Source organism: Homo sapiens, chromosome 8, assembly GCF_000001405.40.
Source record: "Homo sapiens chromosome 8, GRCh38.p14 Primary Assembly".
Classification (NCBI taxonomy): domain Eukaryota; kingdom Metazoa; phylum Chordata; class Mammalia; order Primates; family Hominidae; genus Homo; species Homo sapiens.
This window is the reverse complement of record NC_000008.11, coordinates 131843292-131867524: the sequence shown is the minus strand read 5'-3', so window position 1 is coordinate 131867524 and position 24233 is coordinate 131843292. Positions and strand designations below refer to the sequence as shown.

Genomic DNA, 24233 nt, shown 5'->3' with positions numbered 1-24233 from the left:
AGTTATGAGGGCTGTGGGCTTGGAGGGAGGAAGGTGGTGAGCCAGGAGGGGAGGAAAACCTGGGGAGAGACCATTATTGAGAATGTGGTAAGGGCTGTGCCACATTTCCTCTGCTTTGCCTCCCAGCCTTCCTTCCTAGTTAAAAACAATTGCTATGTACATTTCTTGTAGAAAATTTGGAAAAAGAGTAAGGCATATGGGAAAGCTAGTCTATTTCTTTCCTCCTTGAACGTAGGTATGTTGTTTAATAGAATGCTACCCCCCCATTTCTCCATTTCTGTTTTGCAATTTTAACCTTTTAAAAACTTAAACGAAAAGTAATGAATACATGCTCATAGAAAAATATAGATAAACAAAAAGAAAAATTAAATTATCTATTAGTCTATAGCCCCAAAGTAACCATTGTTAAAATTTATGTACATTCTTCCAGAATTTTCTTTATGTATGTGTGCACATGAGTATACTGACATTTTTCTCAGAGAGAATACGTTTTTCTCTATGCATACTTTTTAAAAACCTCATGTATTGTGAATAGTTTTCTATGATAATAAAATACTTAAATGTCATAATTTATATTCATAGAGATAGAATTATGGGTCAAAAGTAGTCACATTTTTATTTGCTTATTAATTGCCAAATTGCCTTTCAGGAAGCTTGTAGTAATTTATACTTTGATCAACTGTGTATGACAATCCAGTTTCCCTACATACTTACCAACACTATATTTTTTATTTCGCTTTTTGATTGGCCAAAAAATATTTAGTTATGGTTTTGATTTGCATTTACTGCTTACTTTTAAAGCTGAACATTAATTTTTTCATCCGTTTACAGGTCACCGGCATAGCCTGTGTGTATTCTTTACTTATAATCTCTTTTTGAAGAGATTGTCTTCTTCCCACAGATTTGTAAAATGATCCATTTCTTAGATCCATGATATTTCTAGCATGTTTGAGTCTTGAGCATGTGCCTAAGCCAGAGGAAGAGGTTAAACCAGAGCCTCTGGAAAATAGAACAGCATGGTAGGGCACACACATGCTGATGACAGGCTGGTGTGTGGCATGAAACGGTGTGCACTCAGCAACCACAGAGCTGTTTCCTAAACGTCAGGGATCTGGATGCCACCCTGTGTGAAAGTCCACTGCTTTCTTCACAGCATTTCTCTGGATCTGGAGTCTCTCTAATCTATTTTGTCTTTGCCCTGCTGAAGATAGATCACCTTAAGCAAAGTAAGACGATCAGGTTCACGTCTACCCAAAGTGAAAATAAAAAATTAGCCAGGTGTGGTGGCACGGGCCTGTAGTCTCAGTTACTCTGGAGGTTGAGGTGGGAAGATCATTTGAGCTCAGGAGTTTGAGGTTATACTAAGCTATAATCATGCCACTGTACTTTGTCCTGAGTGATAGAATAAAAGCCTGTCTCTAAAATAATAATAATAATAAGGTACAGAGAAAACTATGGCTAAAAGGACACACTTGAAGTTTTTAATTTGATTTATCTTGGGTGTGAGGAAAGAGAAGATGGGACAAGCCCAGAGAAAAATAAACTGAAAAGAAAAAAGCACCAAAAGAAACCCCCCAAACAAAAGAGAAAACCCACAAATCTCATAAAAACCTAAATACCTTCAAAATCTCAGCATACATATGATTATATTTATGTAAAATTATGTTTATATATATGCATTATAAAATTAGAAAACAGATATAATTAGATTGGCTTAAATTGGTTTTTACCAATTTCCATGCTTTTTGAGAAAATTGCAGAATAATGAGTATAGTGTGACTCTATTTTGACAAAAACAAGCATAGAGCTCTAATTATATGTAGCTATATTGTAGATATAGGGGAAAGCAAGGAGGAAGGGGTAGAAAAATACAAATCTGCTTAGTTTTCTAGGGCTGCCATTACAAAGTACCATGGACTGGATGGCTTAACACCTGAAATTTATTTCTCATAATTCTGGAGGCTAGAAGTCCCAGATCAGGGTGCTAGCATGCTCAAGTTCTTGGTGAGGCTCCACTTCCTGGTTTGCAGACAGCTGTCTTCAGGATGCGTCCTCACATGGTGGAGAAAGAGAGAACTCTGGGCTATTATCCCATATGAAGGGCCCTAATCCCATCATGAGGGCCCTACCTTCATGACCTCAAATAAACCTAATTATCACCCAAAGGCCCACCTCCAAATACTATCATATTGGAGATTAGGTTTCAACATACGTATTTTGGAGGATGAAAACCTTCAGTCTATAGCAGTGGTTTGAACAACAGAAGTTTATGTTCTTACAGGTTTGAGGCTCTAGCCTCCAAATCTAATCCTAGTTCAATCCTAGTGTTGGCAGGGTTGGTTTCTTCTCAGGCCTCTCTCCTTGATTTGTAATGGCCGTCTTCTCCCTGTGTCTTCACGTGGTCTTCCCTCTGTGTTTGTGCCCTAATCTCTTCTTGCAACGATACCAGTCACATGGGATTAAACACTACCCCCAATGATCTTATTTTAACCTAATTCCCTCTTTAAAGTCCCTACCTCCAAATACAATCATATCCTAAGGTATGAGGGGTTAGCACTTCAACATACGAATTTTTGTTAGGTGGTTGGGGGAATGAAATTCAGCCAGTAACAACATTCATCTGTTAGTATGAAATATTTCAGAGGGTGGGAAGGGAAGCCATATGGAAAAAAGGCTAGCTTTGTGTTGTAAGTCTTTTTATTGTCTGTCATGTTTCAACAAACATATATTGCTTTTACAGCTTGGAAGTTATAAAATGAATGTAATCCATAAAGGTAGTTGATTGCCTCATCAGATGAAAATGTCAGTGACATGGTTTGGTTCTGTGTCCCCACCCAAATTTTATCTCCAATTGTAATCCCCATGTGTCAAGGGAGAGACTTGGTGGCAGGTAATTGGATCTTCAGGACAGATTTCCCCCTTGCTGTTCTCATCATAGTGAGTGAGTTCTCATGAGATCTGATGCTTTAAAAGTGGTTGGCACTTCCCTGCTTGCCCCCTTTCTCTCCTGCTGCTTTGTGAAGAAGGTACTTGCTTCTTCTTTGCCTTCTGCAATGATTGTAAGTTTCTGGAGGCCTCCCAGCCATGTGGAACTGTGAGTCAATTAAATTTCCTTTCTTTATAAATTACCCAGACTCAAGTAGTATCTTTATAACAGTATGAAAATGGAGTAATACCGTCAGACATTGTGCTTCCACGGTTCATGATTTTCATCAGGGCAAGTCTCTGGACTCTGTCATTCTCTATATGTTGTTTTGACCTCCACATGTCACCTTATACTGTTAACCCTTTAATTTATGGTAACAATATTAGCTGCAACATTTGTAGAAGACACAGTTGTCCACAGCAGGAGAGAAGTCTTTTCTTTCACCTTCCGTGGGAAACAGACACTTCCTTCCCTTAAACTCCAACAAATGTCTCCTCCTGTCTTCCTGGTTTAACTGAGTCATAGGCTTTTCTGAAAACCAGTGTCAGTGTCCAAAGGGTCACATGCTGATTGCTTAGGACAGCTAAGGCCGGCCCCCTAGAGCTGAAGGTCAGGTCACTCATGTCCAAACTCTTGCTGAAAATGGAAGAAGGGTAATTCTTGAAACGTAAATCTGGATCCTGTGTCAGGGGTTGGAGGGAGATGATTTGGAAGCAACCAACCAAAGCCTGCAACTCACCAGGCCCCCTGAAGTGATTTCTAATTTTAGCTCCCATATGAATCTTCAGGTCCAGCAGCACCTTCAGCACAGGCTCCAACTGTTTCTCATCTTTGAGTTCATTGAATTCATACTTAACAAAAATCTCCTATTAGAATGTAGATTCCAAAAGGGCACAAATTTCCCCAGCAACTGGAATAGTGATTGGCATTTAACACATGTTTGTGGAATAGATGAATACACATTTACTGAGTATCCACTATATATTAGACTATTCTAAACACCGAAGATACAGTGATAAAAGTGTGAAGTTCCTGTTCTGGGTTTGCATTCCAGTGAGAAGGCTAGACCATGAATAAATCAATATATATTAGGCTAGACGTATGTACTATGAAGAAAATAAAGTATGGATAGGCATAGAGTGTGATGGGGAGAGCAGTGTGCTATTTTAGATAAGGTGGTCCGAGAAGGGATCAATGATGCAGAGATACTTATGCAGAGACCTAAGGGAAGAAACAAAGCAAGCCTTAAGGATACCTGGGAATGTAACAACAGACAGAGCAAGTTTAGGGGCTGTCTTCCCATTGTATCAGTTAGCATTCAGCTTCAAAATCTGTAAGAAACATGCACTAAAGATGTTTTAAAGCCTTAAGCCACAAGAGAAGAATTTCATAAAAGGATGCAGGAGTATTTCCCTGAATTCAGTGATGGGCATGTGTAGGGTTGGAAAGAGATCAAGATCAGGAGGTAGGAAGGCACTAGGGACCCACTCCATTCATTAATTAGTTAGTTAGGTAATTAATTAAAGTATCTTTCCTATATTCTAATGAGAGTGGGGGTCACAATAGGGTCTAAGACAGACAATAAGTGAAATAAATAATGAAAATATACAGTATGTTGGATAACGATAAATTCTATGGAGAAGGATACAGCAGGAATGGGGTAAGAAATGTTGTAGAGTGTTTTTATTTTTTTCTTTGAGACAAAGTTTCACTCTTGTTACCCAGGCTGGAGTGCAATGGCGCAATCTGAGCTCACCACAACCTCCGCCTCCCAGGTTCAAGCTATCCTCCCTCCTCAACCTCCGGAGTAGCTGGGATTACAGGCATGTGCCACCATGCCCAGTATTTTTAGTAGAGACGGGATTTCTCCAGGTTGGTCAGGCTGGTCTTGAACTCCCGACATCAGGTGATCTGTCCACCTTGGCCTCCCAAAGCACTGGGATTACAGGCATGAGCCACCGCGCCCGGCCGAGTGTTTTAATTTTTAATTGGGTCATCAAGAAAGACCTCACTAAAAAGTTGACATTTGAGCACGTCCTAAAGGAGGCAGTGAGTTATGTGGCTGTCTGGAGGGAGAGAGTCCAGGCCAAGGGAACAGCAAGTGCAAAGGTCCAGAGGCAGCCAGTCCAAGTCCGAGCAAAGGTCCTAGGGCAGCAAGTCCAAGTCCAAGCAAAGGTCCTGGGGCAGCAAGTCCAAGTCCCAACAAATGCAAGGGGGCCAGGGAGATGGGAGCCCAGGGCAAGACAAGGAAGATGAGTTAACAGGGGATTAGATCAGGGAAATAATGGTGATCACGAGGGGGAGCATATTGGTTTTTGTGGACTAATATAAGTGCTTTGGCTTCTACTCTGAGATCAAAAGCTAACAGATGAGGAGAGAAGTGAGTGGCCTGATCTGATTAAAGTGGGAACTGAATCACCCCGACTGCTATGTGTACTTATAAAACCGACTGAGAGGGTGAAGGGCAGAAGCCGGGGACTCCTATTAGGATGCCCTTACAATAATCCAGGAGAGAGATGCTGGTAATGAAGAGTGGTGAAAAGTAGGTAAACTATATTTTTCTCCTGCAGCATTTATTTCTCTCTGCTGCTTTATCAGATCTGCATGTCTACTGCATACAGCTCCTTAGGTTTCATGTCACTTTCTTCCCACTGAGAGACTGCCTTGTCTCAGTTCTAAATTTACCAGCTCCGGTTGGGTAAGTGTGCCCATTCAGCCGTGAGCAGGGCTTGGGGAGATGTCATACAAGCGATGCAACTGGGGAGCCATCCCATCAGTGAAGTAAGCAGCTCTTGGGTGACCCCCAGATTTGGTTGACACCCTTGTTTATATCTTCTAAGCCCCACAGCCTGAGCAATTCATCTCTTTCCTCTTTTTGCCTTTATCTGGCTAGCTGTTTAAAGATTCAACATGGGCTCCTCTGGCTCGATTCTAGACTTTCATAGGCGTGTCTTCCCCTTAGTATCCTTACGACCCTCTTTATAACTTGGTCACATACTTAATCACTCTGTATTTTAATTGCCTATTTTGAAATTAGCTCTTTGAAGGCAAAAATTGTGCCCTCTTTAGCACTACAATACCATCAAGACCTCGCAATGCTAGGCCTACAGTAGGCATTCAATTATTATTTTCATATTGAATTACATCTAATTTTCACATAGTCACAACTTTATTCCCCTGCTCTGATGTCTCTTCCTGCCCTTCTAAATAGAAGAAAAAATGCCTCTTAGGTTGGAGTGTGTCACTTTCACTTCTGTTGCCTTGTGCAATGCTGATCTCCACTTTATTGTGATTGCCAAATGCAAGGTAAAAGAGCATGAATTTTCTGAGTCCTAAAAGATCTCTCCTGCATAGGAAAGGATTTGATCCAGAACATTAGGTGGTGCTGTAAGCAAAGCATCAGGATGCACAGAAGCGTTTGCTTCCACTTAGCTATGTGTGGGGAAAGAAGCCTTTTCATTTTTACAATAGATATCTGTTTCCTCTCACCTGAAGTGTTGCTGTGATTGTTGATCAGGACTTGGAGGAATCTGTAAATTTCAGTGTTAGGGCTGAGAAATATTTAAATATGTGTTGCTCACCAACCAGGAAAACATAGGCATTTCTGGGAATTGGTATTTTCAGAATAGAATGAGCCTAATCTTCTCCAAGGACAAAGCCTTCTGAATTCATTAGAAGCTGAAAAGGAGCAGATCACCCTCATAAGTTTACAAGAATAACGTTTCTTGCCATCTTTAACAAATACCTCCCTGACCTGCAATTTTCAGTCACAGCTTATGAGCCTTCAGGGAAAGAGCCTCAGCTTTGCAGAAAAGGGTGTTCGGGAATAGGGAGTTTGTTCCATTTTCAGTCTTTCTCTACGTTGATAACTTGCACATTCTTTGGGATGTCTGGGTGATCTGTCTGTGACAGCCATCACCCACTGACCCCTTGGAATGAGTCACTTGATCTGGCTGGCTGGAGGGCTAGGCTGCCTCAGTCCTTACTGCTCTATATACATCTGTCAAAAAATCTTAGTCCCGGGGGTTTGAACTATTCCCTCAATTAAAGAGGGTAAGAATTCTTCAGTGAAGAAAACGGAAGTGCTAGTTCTTTGGGATCTAGTTCAGAAGTTACTTTTCCAATGAAACCTTTCCTGAAGTCTTTTCTTTAACGGTAAGCCACATTTGGTGAATATTTGTAGGTCCTAGGTGTTGTGTTAGGCTCTTTCAAATACATTAAGTTATATAATCTTTCTTGCAATGTGGTGTGGTCGTTATTACCAACCCCATTTTCACAGGGGAAGCCGAGATTCAGAGAGATTTAAGGTAGCTTTTCTTAAGACCTGCAGTGAGGAAATGGTAGCTGGGGTTAGGACCCCAGTGGTCCAGCATCTTAATCTTCCTCTTGTACATGGAAAATTAGTTTCACCCTTCTCTGTTCCCACAGATGGTGACATTCATTTCTACTGTGGATTTGTGGCATAGCTTCCCCCTGTGCTGTCTTTGCTTTGGCATAATCACTTTAGTGCATACCTTCTGTTTGTCCTTGCCCATCAATTGACAGCCCTCTACAAAGCAGACATCTTTGAGACCGGTTCTCTGTGTTGATTGCCTTCTCTTGCAGTTTCAGCAGGGCTGTATCCTCATGCATTATTGGGACCTCACAACAACCCCTTTTTTTTCTTCCGTAATTTATCCTCCCTCTCTCAAAGCACGAAATGAGTGACTGCAACATTTGTACTTGGGAATGAATCAACCGGCTGTACTTTAGCTCAAAGCATGTTTTAACAGAAATAAATTCTAAAATTCTTTCAGTCATGAAAAACATTAAATGTGGACAGGAGCAATCTTCAGAACACTGGGTGGCACTGTTCCTCTTCATCTATGACATCAATGACCATGTATCTGGCCCCTCTTATTCAGCACTGTGTTAAGTCCTGAGATCTACCTCCAATATCGCATCTAGTTTGTTCACTTTGTAAGTGTAAGCATTTCTGCTGGGACGAAGGTGACTCACTGACAAATGGGCATCTCCTCCTTATCTCGACACAATGAACGATGTCGGTATGGCCCTTTCCAGGGAGATCTAATGTCTATGGAACTGTCGGTTGCCCTGAGCACATAACCTCCTTGCTCTAAAAATACCTGCTAACTCCATGCTGATAATTTCCTGATTTTGTAGAAGTCAGGGCACATTTATCATTGTTTCCTTCTTATTGCCTTTTGTATTTTCCTTTATTCTTGTGAAGTTTCTTATTTTTGTCAGAGTCCTTATAATGCCCCTGGTTTAATTCCAGTTTTTACCTCTAGCCCTTGTTAGTTTTCCAGACGGAGTCTCTACTCAATGTCTTTAAACTCTGTTCTTCTCTAGAGCACATTATTGGACCTTAGTAATCAACTGCAGTAAACATATGTAGAAAGTGTAGAGGGAATCTAGAAGAGTGAATGCCAGATGCTATCTGGAGAGACGGGCAAATCTTTCATAGGGGTGATGGTGTGTAACTGATCCTTGAGACATGGGTAGAGTGGTTTCTTTCTTCTGTGACTTTTCCTTCTAAAATCCTTGTTGTGCCTTTTTACAGATGAGAATACTGAGACCCATCTGGGTTTAACACCCCACTTAAGGCTGTGAAGTTAAGAAGTAACAAAACTTTTACTGATTATAATTTTAGTGAGTTCTTTCCAATATTCACTCACTCATCGTTTATTCATTCATCAAATATTTGTTGAGAACCTACTATGTGCTGCTACTACTATGTACTGATATGTAACAGTGAACAAAAACCTAAGTCTCCTATAGGGGGTTTTGCATTTTGTGACATGAGGAGGAGGGGACAGACAGTAAACAACAGCAGCACAAATACTTAGTGTGTCAGGGGGTGATAATATCACACGATGGGTGTGCATGTGTGTGCCTGCACTATTTGGGTGGGTGGCAGGGAGGTTCAGGTAGAAAGACAAACGTGCACCAATAATTATAATATTAAAAGTTTTCTCATTATCATGATTACTTTTGTTGAATTGTTTTTCCCTCTTTCCTATCTCTTCCCCTCCAGAGAATTAGAGGAATGGGTGCAATTGCTGAGCTTCAGATGGGCGTTTGTTTTTCCTGGCCGTATGCTGGGAAGTAGAAGGGAAAGAGTGGCCAGCGCAGCCCTGCAGTAGTTAGGGAACTGTTTAACCTAAAGTGCTCTTAGAGAAGAAACTGAAAATCATTTATTAAAAGGAGTTTCCCTGATGTGAGCTCACTTACATTCCTTTACCCACCTTTTACTTCAGAATGAAGCAGAAAAAAATTCTTAGAATTAAGGTCTCTGTCAGTGGGTTCTCATAAAGATTTCAGTGTGCCTTGCCAAGAACATTCCTTCATAAATGACCACATTAGAGAATGAGGAAAGTGCAGGCAAAGGTCATTGCTGCTGAAGGTAACACATTTGTGGGAAAAAAAGGCAGTTACAAGAAAAAAGGCTACAGGCATCATAGTGATGAGGTTGGGGTGGTAACACTGGGAAGGTCTTTGTGGTATTCTAAAGTGATGAGGAGTCATTGGTTATTTTTACCTTGGCTGGTGACCTGTTTTATAGACGGATAATACAGGAGCATTTCTGGAGAGTAGGATGGAGAAGGAGAAGAAAGAAGGAAATAAGAAGGTGTAGACGGAACAGTGGAGGCACATTTAAAAGACTGTTGACAAGGGTGGCTAACGAAGTTTGATCACGGATAAGGTGAATAGCTAGAATTTATTGAGGAATTACTGTGTCCCAGACACTTCTTAAAGTGCTTTCCTCATGTTAGTTTATATAATCCTTGGAATATCCCATAAGTTAGCACTTTTATAATCTCCACTTACAGATGTGGAAGCAGAATGTTGGAGAAGTTACACAAATTTCCCAAGAATTCACAGCTAGAAAGTGGAGTTGTTGTGAATCAAAACCAGAGAGCTGGGTCCAAAGTCACTCACTTAATTACGTCTAATCTCCCGGCTTCCAGTATTAGATGTGGGGCTGAAGGAGAGAGAAGAGTTGGGAAAAAAAATCCGGATTTCAAATTCAAGACACAAGGTCAGCTGATAGATACAATTCTAGGATACTGATGCCTACAGCTGACATCCTACATTTTAGATCCTAGTTGGTAATCAACAGGCAAATTAACATGCAAAGTCCTCTACTTCCCCCCCGAGACTCAGGTTTAAGTCATCTGGTATAAGTTATCTCAAGTCTCCATCTGACAATCTGTGGTCAGTTGTCTGCTTTCCCTAGATTTTCTGGAGACCTTTTGCTCAGCCGCTTCTACCTCTGAGTTTTTGTTCCTGCCAGATGGCTGGTCTCTAAATCAGAGTTTCACTTTCTGTGTTTGCCCTTTACTGTCTGCCCTATGCTGATCTAGAGTTCCACAAACATATAACTTCATCTCGCAGGTCATATGTGTGACTTTGGAGGATGGAGATTATTATTCCAGTTATTATCACCACATTTAAAAACTCCACATGGAAATTAGTGATATAAAAAGACAATCACTTTATTAAGCACACTTTTTTTTCATTTTGTTTTTTGGTCAAGAATTCAAACAGTGCACTGAGGCCATGGCAGCTCTCCTACTAGCTATCTGGGGCCTTCACAGGAGATGACTCAGTCAGCAGAAGGCTGAATCATCTGGATGAGTCTCCACTCACATGTGTGACTCAGAGGCTTGCGCCCAGCTTGGACTGCCAACTGGACGCCTACCCATGGGCTCTCAGGGTGACTTGTGCTTCTCACAGCGTGGTGCCTGGATTCCAAGAGCCAGTGTCTCCCAAGCAAGCATTCGGGACGACCAGTGAGAAGCTGCACAATGTTTTTTGTTTTTTTTTTTTTGGTGAGACAGAGTTTTGCTCTTGTTGTCTGCACTGGAGTGCAATGGCGCAACCTCGGCTTGCTGCAACCTCTGCCTCCTGAGTTCAAGTGATTCTCCAGCCTCAGCCTCCCAAGTAGCTGGGATTATAGGCATGTGCCACTGCACCCGGCTAATACTTTGTATTTGGTAGAGACAGGGGTTTCGCCATGTTGGCCAGGCTGGTCTCGAACTCCTGACCACAGGTGATCCACCTGCCTCGGCCTCCCAAAGTGCTGGATTACGGGCATGAGCCACTGCGCCTGGCCACTGAACGATCTTTTTTCACTCAGCCTCGAAAGTCTCACAGCCTCACTTCTGCTATTTGTATTGATGGGGAGTATTTATTCAAGGAGAGGGAACATAGGCTCCCACCTCTCAATAAGAGAAGTGTTAAATAATTTGTGGATGTTTTTAAAAAACACCACCAGAGAAAGAACTACAGTGTAGTGATGCAAACCAAACCACATTTTATTTTACATACCCTTATTTTTAAAAGTCCTTTGGCTTTCCTACTCGCAGGCATTTCTCACTTGACACTTTTCTTCATAGGCTTCTGCCTCACTGCTGTTCTCATTACACATAAATTCCTATCTATTTTTCATTCATGCCCTTGTGATTTCATTCTTGCATTCAACAATACAATGCATGCACAAATCTTGCATTCAACAAATGTTTATTAAGTACCAAATGTATGCCACACACAGTTTTAAGTTCCTAGGATACATCAGTGAACAAAACATACCAAATTTATTATTTTTTTTTTGGAGCTTATGTTCCAGTGAGAGAGAAATTAAACAATAAGCATAATAAGTAAATTTTACAAAGTACAAGGTGATAGTGCTACAGAAAAGTAAGGAAATGTAGAGCACGGCGAGAGAATAGAAAATGTGAAGGGCTCAGATGTCATTTTATTTATTTATTTATTTTATTATACTTTAAGTTTTAGGGTACATGTGCACAACGTGCAGGTTTGTTACATATGTATACATGTGCCATGTTGGTGTGCTGCACCCATTAACTCATCATTTACATTAGGTATATCTCCTAATGCTATCCCTCCCCCCTCCCCCCACCCCACAACAGGCCCCGGTGTGTGATGTTCCCCTTTCTGTGTCCATGTGTTCTCATTGTTCAATTCCCACCTATGAGTGAGAACATGCGGTGTTTGGTTTTTTAGTCTCAGCAAACTATCGCAAGGACAAAAAACCAAAAAAAAAAAAAAAACATCGGGTGTCATTTTAAACAGTGGCCAGGGTAGGCCTCATTAAGAAGCTGGCATTGCAATGAGGTAGGTATCATCTCACACCAGTCGGAATGGCTATTATTAAAAAGTTAAAAAACAACAGAGGCTGGTGAGGCTGTGGAGAAATGGGAATGTTAATAGACTGTTGGTGAGCATGTAATTTAGTTCAGCCACTATTGAATGCAGTTTGGAGATTTCTCAAAGAACTTAAAATGGAGCTACCATGTGATGCAGCCATCCCATTACTGGGTATATACCCAAAGGAAACTAGATTATTATACCAAAAAGACATATCACTTGTATGTTCATTGCCACACCCTTCACAATAGCAGGCATAGATTCAACCTAGTGCCAATCAGTGGTAGATTGTATTAAAATAATGTGGTAAATATACACCATGGAATACTACACAGCCATAAAAAGAATGAAACCACAGCCTTTGCAGCAACATGGATGCAGATGGAGTCCATAATCCTAAGAAAACTAACATAATAATAGAAAACCAAATACTCTATGCTCTGACTTTTAAATAGGAGCTAAACATTGAGCACACATGCACATAAACATGGGAATAATGGACACTGTGGACTACTAGAGAGAGTGGGCTTGAAAAGCCATCTATTGGGTATTAGACTCATTACCTGGGTATAATATACTCGTGTAACTAACCAGCACAGGTACCTACTGTATCTAAGATAAAAGTTGAAATTTAAAAAAAGAAGGAGGCATTGCAGTGAAGACATCCAGGAAATGAGAATCTGAGCCACACAGTTGTATGGAGGTGAAAAATCCAGATAGAGGGAACAGCTGGTACAAAGGCCAAGGTGAGAGTAGGTCTGGCATATTTAAAGAGGGGCAAAAAGTCTGTGGGGACTGGAATAGAAAGAATAAAAATGAGAGTAAATAGGAAACAAGATCAAGAAAGTGACAGAGGCCCAGACCATGTATGACCTGTAGAATGCTATAGTAAAGAATACTAGGAGTTCTAAAATTGGGATCCAGAAGAGATTTTTGAGCATAGGAGAGATTTAATCTGAAATCTGACTTAATATGTTTTACAAAATCCCTCTGTTTCCCATGTTGAGAACAGACTCTAGGGCATCAAGTGTAGAAAAAGGGAGATGAGTTAGGAGATATATTAGTCCATTATCACGTTGCTATAAAGAAATACCTGAGACTGGATAATTTACAATGAAAAGAGGTTTATTCAGGAGGCATAATGCTGGCATCTGCTCAGCTTCTGGAGAGGCCTCGGAATGCACTGACAATCATGGTGGAAGGTGAAGCCAGGGCAGAAATGTCTTATGTGGGAGGAGCAGAAGCAAGAGAGAGAGGGTGGAGGAGCTACACACCTCCAGATCTTGGGAGATCATATGGACAATGAGAACATATGGACACAGGAAGGGGAACATCACACACTGGGGCCTGTTGTGGGGTGGGGGAAGTGGGGAGGGATAGCATTAGGAGATATACCTAATGTAAATGATGAGTTAATGGGTGCAGCACACCAACATGGCACATGTATACATATGTAACAAACCTGCACATTGTGCACATGTACCCTAAAACTTAAACAACCAGATCTTAGGAGAACTCACTCACAACTGTGAAGACAATTCTAAGGGGGATAGTGCTAAGCTATTCATGAGAAATCCTCCTCCATGATCCAATCACCCCCTACCAGGCCCCATCTCTGATAGTTCAACATGAGATTTGGGCGGGGACATATATCCAAACCATTTCGGGAGGCTATTACAGCCATCTAGATATGTGAAAATGGTGGCACAGACCAGAATGGTAGCAGTGAAGTTGGTGAGAAGTGATAAGATATTAGATATACTCTGAAGGCAGAGTTAATAGGATTTACTGACATTGGATGTCATATGAGAGCAAAAGAAAGGTGTCATGAGCAACCTCAATGTTATTTGTCTGAGAAACTGGAATAATGGAGTTGCCATTGGTTGAGATAAAAGGGGCTATATGTGGGAGCAAACTTTTTTCTTTTTTTAAAATTATACTTTAAGTTTTGGGATACTTGTGCAGAACATGCAGGTTTGTTACATAGGTATACACGTGTCATGGTGGTTTGCTCTACCCATCAACCTGTTGTCTACATCAGATATTTCTCATAATGTTATCCCTCCCCTAGTCCCTGAACCCCCGACAGGACCCAGTGTGTGATGTTCCCCTTCCTGTGTCCATGTGTTCTCATTGTTCAACTCCCACTTATGAGTGAGAACATGTGGTGTTTGTTTTTCTGTTCCTGTGTTAGTTTGCTGAGAATGATGGTTTCCAGCTTCATCCATGTCCCTGCAAAGGACATGAACTCATCCTTTTTATTGCTGCATAGTATTCCATGTGCCACATTTTCTTTATCCAGTATATCATTGATGGGCATTTCGGTTGATTCCAAGTCTTTGCTACTGTGAATAGTGCTGCAATAAGCATACGTATGCAGGTGTCTTTACAGTAGAATGATTTATAATCCTTTGGGTATATAACCAGTAATGGGATTGCTGGGTCAAATGGTATTTCTGGTTCTAGATCCTTGAGGAATCACCACACTGTCTTCCACAATGGTTGAACTAGTTTACACTATGTGGGAGCAAACTATTTAGGGAGAGTGGGAAAGATTAGGAATTGAGTTTTGGACATGTGTTTGATAAATGCATTAGACAAGTCAGTGCAAATTTGAAGTTGAATATGTAAGTCTAGTGTTTAGAAGAGAAGTCTAGGCTGGGTACATGAACTTGTGAGTTATTGGGAAACAGCTGGCATCGAAAGCCACGAGATAGGATGAGATCACCATAGGAGGGGTCTATATAGAGGAGAGAAGGATGTCAAACTCCAAGCACAAGGACACTGCAGTAAGAAGAAGTTGGGAGCGACAAGCAAAGAAGACTGTAAAGAAGTTGTTCATCAGCACAGAGTGTGATATCCTGAAAGCCAAATGAAGAAAGAAGCAAGCATCAAGATCAAGAAGAAAGAAGTAAACCAGTTGTGTCAAAAGTTGGTTCAGGCCGGGCGCAGTGGCTCACGCTTGTCATCCCAGTACTTTGGGAGGCTGAGGTGGGTGGATCACCTGAGGTCAGGAGTTCGAGACCAGCCTGACCAACATGGCAAAACCCTGTCTCTACTAACAATACAGAAATTAACTGGGCGTGGTGGTGCGTGCCTGTAGTCCCAGCTACTCGGGAGGCTGAGGTAGGAGGATTGCTTGAACTTGGGAGGCAGAGGTTTCAGCAAGCTGAGATTGCGCCACTGCACTCCAGCCTGGGTAACAGAGTGAGACTCCATCTCAAAAAAAAAAAAAAAAAAAAAAAGTTGGTTCATTTAGCTGATGAGTCAGGTAAGAAGAGGACTGAAGACTGAGCCATTACATTTAATAATGTGGGTGTCTCTGTGTAAACTTGAAAACAACACCTCTAATGGGCAGTAAATGTGAAAACTTGATGGAAGTGGATTAAAGAGACTGCAAGGAAAGAAAATGGAGGCAGCAAGTGTATAAAACTTATAAAAAAGAGAGTTTCTACAAAAGAAAACAAGCAAATAAAGCACTAGCTGTCAGGAGATATAGGATCTAGAAAAGGTTTATTTACTCTTTTTTAAGTAAATAAAAATAAAAGTGATATTAACATGTATGTATGCTGATGGGAGTCGTCTAGGACAGAGGGAGAAACTGTAGGAGACAGAAGAGAATTGTTGGAACAATGTTGTTGAATAGGTTAGAGAGATGGGATCTAGAACATAGGAAGAATTGGTGTTAGGATTGTGGAGAGTCCATCTGTGGGCACAAATAAGAAAGTGCAGATGGGTCAGAGGGGGTGGTGATTCTCATCTGACTACTTCCATTTTCTCAACATAGAAAGCAAAGTTATTAATTGAAAATGAATTTAGGAAAGGCAACATTGAAGATTTGATGAGAGAGGAGACATTTCACAATAGGGATTTAGGAACATGGAAGAGTGAATAGACTAGGGAAGTGTAAGATAATTACTGAGCTGTGTTAAGGGCCCTCTTGAGTCCCCAGTCATAGATTTAAATTGATATTAGTCAGCAGTGGTTGGGTGTTTATATCTAGACATGCTGCTCAATGCCAAGCATGGGTGGGTGGAGAGTTGATTTGAACTAAGTTGTGGATTATCTAGTGAGTAATATGAAGTAAAGGAGTTGGCAGTGGAATCAAGGACATCAAGGGTCAATGCAAATTGACCGTGACACTTAAGCTGGTTTAGGAAGGAGAGAAAGCATCAGGGGGGTGGATCAATGGAAGGATCCATGAAGTGGAGATTTTTGGTCATAGGTTACTAAGAGAGTGAGTGGAAATTAGAAGGTGGTAGCCAGAGATTAGAAGGCATGAAATGACTAGAGTTGCCATTATTGGTAATGATGAAGTCTAGGATAAGCTCGTGGGATTGAGTAACTGAGGTAGGATGAGGAACAAGATCATTGGAAGAGAGATTTTCCAAGGAACTGAGAGGCCAATGTGTTGGAAGGGTCATCTAGATGGTATACCAAAAGTATCAAGAGTTAAGTTCCTTACCCTGTAGCCATGTCTCTTACAATTATTTATCTTACAATAAATGTGGTAGATATAATCTTATTATGTTGTTTGTCTACTTATTTAGGTACTTGATGCATGTTTGTTGAGTTGACAGAAATGCACTGTGTTTTGTTTTATTAGCCCCTGCCTTTTCCAGCCCTGAACATATGTAATCATGGACACTCTCCACCATAGGGTCTGCTTTTCTTGGAACCAATTCCTCACCCATTCTCTTCTCTGGGTTCTAACCAATAAAGAGAAAATATGAGGAGCCAAACAATCTCACCATTAACCTTAATTATATAGCTGATAACTCCCTAATAAGGGGTTAGATACTGTGGCTAGAAGCTGAGATTAAAGTGAAGTTCTCCTATTATCTCCTTTCCTACAAATTGAGAAATTAAGATCTGCTTCTGGATTGCATCTGCCCTATTATGTATTCAGGTACATGGAAAATTGTTAATTTTGACTCACAACCCATTTTTAGGCAGAACAAAGAACAAAGAGGGTAAAAGAAAAAGTTGGAATATAGATAGCTATGGTCTTAAACATATCTTACTCTTTCTAATCTCACAATCTCTTATGGGGCATAGTAAAAGATAAAGACAGACCAGATTAGATGTGTTCTCTCCAACATTTCTGTAGCTGAGATGAAAGTGAAAGTCTCCTTGTCCATAGTCTGAGGCCAGAAAGTGGGCTTAGAGGTATTCAATGTCCTCTTGTCTAAGGATGGAAGACATTGAAAGTATACTTTCTATTTTCACATGGGATATGGATTGGTCTTGATGACATGCTTGGTGCCTATCCCACTTACCATGCATGCCCACAGTGTTATTACAGCACTCCCCAACCCAACCAACCACAAACACATTGGTGGTTTATGTAGTCAAATAATCTAGTCAGAATTTCTAGTTAGTTATGTGGTTAAATAGATTGTAGTCAGAATTTCAAGCTTCTTGTTTAGACACCTTCAGTCAGAGTGAGAAGTCAGAGCTTCTTTTTAATAAACCTACCACCTCAAGAGTAATCAAAGGGCAGTGGTTAAAGTTGTTGACCTAGACAGATGGCAGCATGAGGCTTATTCCAGGAATTTCAGAGGTGAAGGGAGATCAGATTTATTCTAGACTGCATTTGTGGGGAGGAGCTTTCTGGACATTAGGCCACAGTGCCTTAGTCATTTGGTGTAGGGTTGAAGTCTTGGATGAAGAATCGCAATCTCCTTCCAAAAGGCAAGTAGTGAGGAAGACAAGATGGGCAAATTCTAGAGAAAAGAGCTGTACTTTCCCAACTAACTCAAGAACCAGGAAGCTTAACTCATTATTCTCTCATCACCTTCCCCTGATAGAAATAGCTCTTAAATAACATAAAAATTTCAGGGGGAGAGTCCAGTGATATAAGTAGTAGAAACTAGAGAAACAGCTCTTGATACTTGAAGTAATAAAGAAGCCACCATGTGTTATCATAGTAAGTGGTTATCTTTACAACGAAAATGAATTTACAGATCTGTTCTCAAGTAATAGAAATGATCTATCGAGAGAGTACTCAGTATGACATATACAGACAGGTTTGTAAGAGCTTTGCAAAAAGGACCCCCAAACCGGGGTATTTTGGTGATTTTTTAAAAGTATTTCAAACCCTGATAATTATGGCATCAACAAACCTCACCAATAGAATATCAATAAAAAGAAACCATGTAGTCTGAAATGACTACTAAGCCAGGATCAAAAAGACAAATTTTCGATAAACTTGTGATAGTTTTCAATTTCCTCTGGGCTAATAAAAATGACAGGACACTGTTTTTTTCTTACATAACAGCTTTATTGAGATATAATTCACATGCCATATAATTCACCCATTTAAGGTATATAATTGAATAGTTTTTGGTCTAGTCACACAGTTATGCAACTGCCACCATCAATTTTAGAACATTTTTATCATTTCTAAAAGAAATCTTGTACCTATTAACAGTTGCTCCCCATTTCCTCCAAGCCCTAGAAAACAACTGACCCTACTTTGTGTCTCTATAGATTTGCTTATTCTTGGCATTCTTATAAATGTAATTATACCATATATGGGCCTTTGTGATTGTCTTCTTTCACTTTGCCTAATGTTTTCAAGATTCATTCATGCTGTAGCATGTCTCGGTACTTTATTCCTTTTTGTGGCACAATAATTTTCCATTGCATAGATATACCACATTTTGTGTCATTATTCATCAGTTGATGGACATTTGAATTATTCCCACTTATTACCTATTATGAGTAAAGCTTCTATAACCATTCATATACATGTTTTTATGTGGGCATATATTTTCATTTCTCTTGGGTAGGAGTGGAATTCCTGGGCCATATGGTAGGTAACACTATGTTTAACCTTTTGAAGAACTGCCAGACTGTTTTCCAATGTGGCCGCATGATTTTACATTCCCACAAGCAGTATATAAGGGTTCTAATCTCTCCACATCCTTTTCAACATTTTTTTATTATTTGTCTTTTTTATCCTAGCCATCCTAGTGGATATGAAGTGATATCTCATTGTAGTTTTGATTTGAATTTTCCTGATGGCAAATAATGCTGACCATCTTTTCATGTCTTTATTGGCCATTTGTGTATCCTTTTTGGAGAAGTTCTGTTCAGATCCTTTTCCATTTATTTTGTTACTTTTTTCCTTTTCCAATATTTAATTAGGTTATTTGCCTTTTAATTATTGGGTTGTAAGAGCACTTTATATATTCTGGATACAAGTCCTTTCACCAGATGTATAATTTGCAAATAATTTCTCTAATTCTGTGAATTGTCTTTTCACTTTCTTGATGATGTCCTTTGAAGGACAAAAGTTTTTACTTTTGATGAAATCCAGTGTATCCATTTTTTGTTTTGTTGCTTGCTCACTTAGCATCATATTTAAGAAACCACTGCCAAATCTAAGGTTATAAAGCCTTACCTTTTATTTTCTCCAAAGAGTTTTATAGTTTTAGCTCTTACATTTAGGTATTTATCCATTGAGTTAATTTTTGTATATGGTGTAAGGTAGGGGTTCAACTTAATTCCTTTGAATGTGATGTTCAGGTTTTCCAGTACCATTTGTTAAAAAGACTATTCTTTCTTCCACTGAATTGTCATCTTGGCTTCCTTGTCAAAAATCAATTGACTATAAATGTGACGATTTCTTCCTGTGCTCTCATTCCAATTCTATTAATATATATGTTTATCCTTCCCAGAATGTCTTGATTACTGTAACTTTGTAATAAGTTTTGAAATTGAGAAATGTGAGTCCTCCAACTTTTTTTTTTTTCAAAATTGTTTTACTATTCTGGGTTCCTTGAATTTCCATATGTGAAGTAACATTTTGCTTTCATATTTATTTATCTTGTGACAATTCATTTTTACCTGGTTGGCAAGGAATGAAGATGAAGAATAGATCTTAGGACTAAATTTAGCTCATGTTTTGGAAAGGGAGATGAAGGCAAGGTTACACAACAACACAATATTAATTTATAGAGCCCATGAGTCTTAAATTTATTCTGAAAGTATAATATGAGCAGACAAGTAGAAAGGTAAAAAAGAGCTTACATGTTTGGGTCTATGAGGTGAGCATTTATAGATGACTGATTGAGGGTGGTAAAGTAAGATGATAAATTTGATCATGCTAAAAGATGCCCTAAGTTCAACATATCTTTCCTGCTGGTCTCTACCTTAGTATTGAGTATGTTTGAACTGAAAACTCATTTATTTTGGGTGTTAGGTATCACATACAAATAACCCCCATTAAAATGCACATTACTGGCTAGATGAAATGGGTAAGGAGGAGGACATTATTTGAGAAGAGATTGAGATGACCATGAAGTCAACACAGCAGATAGATCATCAGGGTAGATGTGAATTGCCTGACACTACTGACGGAGACAGGGTGGTAAACAACATGAATCATGGAGGATGGTGGATGATAGTGATGGGGATACAGATGCTAGGGTATAAGGTTATAAGAAGATAGTATGAACCTCCCATTGAAAGGTATGTAGTGATGACTGCAAAATAGGAGCTTTGTATCTAAAACAGACTAGCCCACCTTAATCCATCTTTAATGGAAAGATCTGAAAATACTTCTGGGGAATACAGAGTACTATAATGTCCTAGAAGTTTGAACACTAGGAAGAGATTCAAAGGTGTAGTCCAACATTTTCTTACAGTTCTTCTCATTTCTCTTGACTCTTTCAGATGAGGAGAATAAAGCCAAGGCTCTAATTGAAGTATTCATTTGCTAATTAGGAATGAGAGTTCTTATGCTTCTATCCTTCCTATTGGGTTTTATCCTCATCAATTTCTTCTTAACTTTAATTCTGTCCAACTCATTTTCATGGTCTACCTGATATGCCTCTCTATTAGTGACCCCATTTTGCCCCTAAAGCCTGTGTTTTGTAATGCACATATTGCCCTCAACCTTTTACAGAATTGTCCATTTCCACTTAAAGGTGGACCTCCTGAAGTTGCTCTTAGTCTCCCTCTTCAAATAAGTTCACCTCAAATGAATTCAACTTGAAGATGTCATTTGTATACTAGAAGCAGAACTATTGCTTTTTGTTGTTGTTGTTGTTGTTCGAGACAGGATCTCACTCAGTCGCCCAGGCTGGAGTACAGTGGCATGATCAAGGTTCACTGCAGCCTCAACCACCTGCACTCAAATGATCCTCCCACCTCAGCCTCCTGGCCAGCTGGGACTACAGGTGCACACCACCATGCCCAGCTTTTTTTTTTTTTTTTTTTTTTTGTATTTTTTGTTGAAATGGGATTTTGCCATGTGCCCAGCCTGGTCTCAGACTCCTCAAGGGATCTGCCCACCTCAGCCCCCTAAAGTGCTGGATTGCAGGTGTGAGCCAGTGCACCTGGCCTTGGGTTTTGAGATCAAAAAGACAAACTGAACTGCTGAGATCTAATATGATTTTAAGGAATCTGCTTGTTTTCCCCCTCTTATTTATTATTCCATTGGAATTCAATGCAAATTCCATACTTTCAATTTACTTACTAAATTTGCTTTGTACTACTAAGGTAATTGAAAGGTTCTGAGATTATTATCAGGTTATGGTAATATCTAGGTTTAGTTGCTTATGTGTAATACCAACACATTTTATGCTTTACAAACTTATCTTCTTGATTAGCCATGCTAATTTGCATTTAGTCAAAAGTGAGATGGACAATTCTTCTATTCCACTAATATTTTTAAGTGTTATTATTATCTGCTCACTACTAAGTTTTGTCCAACTTGCATCTCCTCAGAAGATCACAGTCTAATATGGAATAGAATATGATACAATATCTGCCATTTTGTGTCTGCCCCTCATACCTTTTGAAAATCACCCTTTTGCCAGTCTATGTGATTCTGCTGGGGTTGTCAGTTTGGGATCCCCAACTCCACTGCTGCTGGAGTGGATGACTAAGCTGGCTAATCAACTGTTCACATTCCCCTGGGACACAGTGACTCACCCAGGAAAACCAATTAAAGTTATTATGGGGAAACCAAAAGAAACACTGATTGAGTGTGTTTCTCTCCTTCTGAAATTAGTAGCTAGAAGACCATGTAAGCTTAGACTTGATGGGCTTTCTCTTGATCAGAAATAGTCTCCCAAGCTCTTAAAGAAAACATAACTAGAGATGGAGACTGAGAAAAGGAGAGAGGGAAAGAAGGAAAAAAGTAAGGAGGGAGGGAGTGAAAGAGAGAGACCATATAATCTGAGCACCCAAATTTAGTTTTGCTTGAAGCCTAGTCTCACAGACTTTTCATTTTGAGAGCTAATACATTCAGTTTATCCTTAAGCTAACTTACACCTATCCCAGAGTCCTGACTTTATAATAAAGAATTCCAGTTTAAGGGAATAAAACTGTCATGAAGAAATGCACCCAGGGCAGGGGAGAGAGAGCCATTTCTGCCTGGACAAGACCAAGTGATAATAACAGATGCAAAATTTTATTACAAAATGATTATGTGCATATTACCTCATTTGATCCCCATACCACCACTATAAGAAGGTGACTTTCATTATCCTCATTAGGAAAATACTGATGATTACAATTACCCAAAGGGTGAAAGGAGGAGGGTAGAAAGTGAAGGAAGTTTGGAAACCCAAATATCTTACACAAAATGATAACCACTGTAAAATGAATTCTAATACCATTCCTAAACCAACATTATAAAGGTATTTCTTGAGATGTAATGCCCTTTCACAAGCTATTCTATTGCTTTATATTCATATATAACATCTAGATCTTGATAAAAAGATGTTTTGTGATATTTTGAGAGGTCTTTAGAAAAAACAACCCTACAAATACAGCTAGGCACTGAAATGATACACATAAAAAATGTAGGATTAGCTCAAAAGTCTGTGGAGCTTTGCAAGAATCTTATATAATGAGCCAAAATGACCTTCCTCATTTTCTATCATTTTTCCCAAGAAGCTAACGTTTTAGATCTATGTATAAATGTTACATGGGCTGTGTTATTAGATAGATATTTGCTCCTGGAAGATAAAAAGGTACCTTTTATCCTCTCAAATTTAATTTGATTCTATTGTAACCATGGCCAATGAGAAATGGTCTTAGGAGACAGTGTTGCCAAGTGTTCTTATGAATGTGACGTCTTGTCATATGGAAAAAATTGCTAATGGCCTTAAAAGTATAGACTCAGAGGGAAAATGTTAAGGGCTAGTTCTCAGACTACAGTATTCGTTAATAAAACTCACAGACTCTTCTTGCTTAGAAAGCTGCATACTTCATTCTCTGATTCTCTCTAGTAGCTTACAAGGCCTCATTTAAATGTTTAGCTCTCTCTCGCACATATAGATCCAGACACAGAGGCACAAAACATAGTCATCTGCCATTCTCAATGCCTAGGATGGTGTGTTGAGCCTGATTTTATTAAAAGGAAATGGCTTAGTGTTCAATACAAAGATATAATGGTGGGGTAACCCCATGTTTTTTCTATGATCCTTTGGGTCAGTGATCAACACTACAAAAGGCAGTGGTCAACTCTAGTTTTTCCTTGCTCCTAAATATGTCTGAGACAATGCCATATATTTAAACTAAATGGTTTCATTTTTTTTCTAGGGCACATGGAAAGACCATGTTTCCAAATTTCTCTTACAATTAGGTTGAGGATATGTGACTGAGTTCTAAATACCAGAATGTGTGCAAAAGTGATATGCCATTCCTAACCAAATATCTTCCTTTCCCTGGAATACTCCATGCTTTCTCTTGCTCTTTCATGGAACTTTAGAGACCAATTATTGAAGATAGTTGTGCCACAATATGGATGAATCCTGGATACATGAATGCCTGTGTGGAACAGAGCCCGCTGTCTACTGTATTGGATTCTGAGGTGAGCGAGCAAAAGTGATTATTATACTAACCCACTGAATTGTTTATTTCTTAGTTTTTCTCTGTTACAAATGTTTTACTAATAGTAATGGTTACTTGGGATTGTTAAATTTTTTTTTGGCAAAACCCATAAAGAAGATGCAAATCCTTATGGTTTGGAGTTGGGAATAAGCTAAATATAAAGACGTGGTCATAAGCCTTAGAAGCCACAAATAGATGCAATCCCCTACTGCTACCCTTCTTTAATGCTTCACCTTATGATCCCATGATCTCCAATTACTTGGAGTTCTCCCAAGAACAC

General features: G+C 39.6%; 1 long non-coding RNA gene across 1 annotated transcript in view, besides 1 other annotated feature; it reads left to right on the top strand.

Annotated features, from left to right (window-relative positions):
* Positions 1 to 23954, top strand: part of LOC107986976 (uncharacterized) — a 41866-nt gene extending 17912 nt beyond the window's left edge. Inside the window, exon 3 of the long non-coding RNA XR_001746093.2 lies at positions 23832 to 23954. This is a non-coding gene — a long non-coding RNA (uncharacterized LOC107986976). The remainder of the gene's footprint in view (positions 1 to 23831) is intronic.
* Positions 9714 to 10913: an enhancer, noted in NCBI's record as "P300/CBP strongly-dependent group 1 enhancer chr8:132868859-132870058 (GRCh37/hg19 assembly coordinates)". NCBI's record gives its function as "activates an origin of replication core promoter dependent on BRD2, BRD4, P300/CBP, MED14 and CDK7 cofactors, with strong dependence on P300/CBP, by STARR-seq in HCT116 cells {active_cell/tissue: HCT116}" and the evidence as "EXISTENCE:reporter gene assay evidence [ECO:0000049][PMID:35650434]".
* Positions 23955 to 24233: the final 279 nt, after the last annotated feature.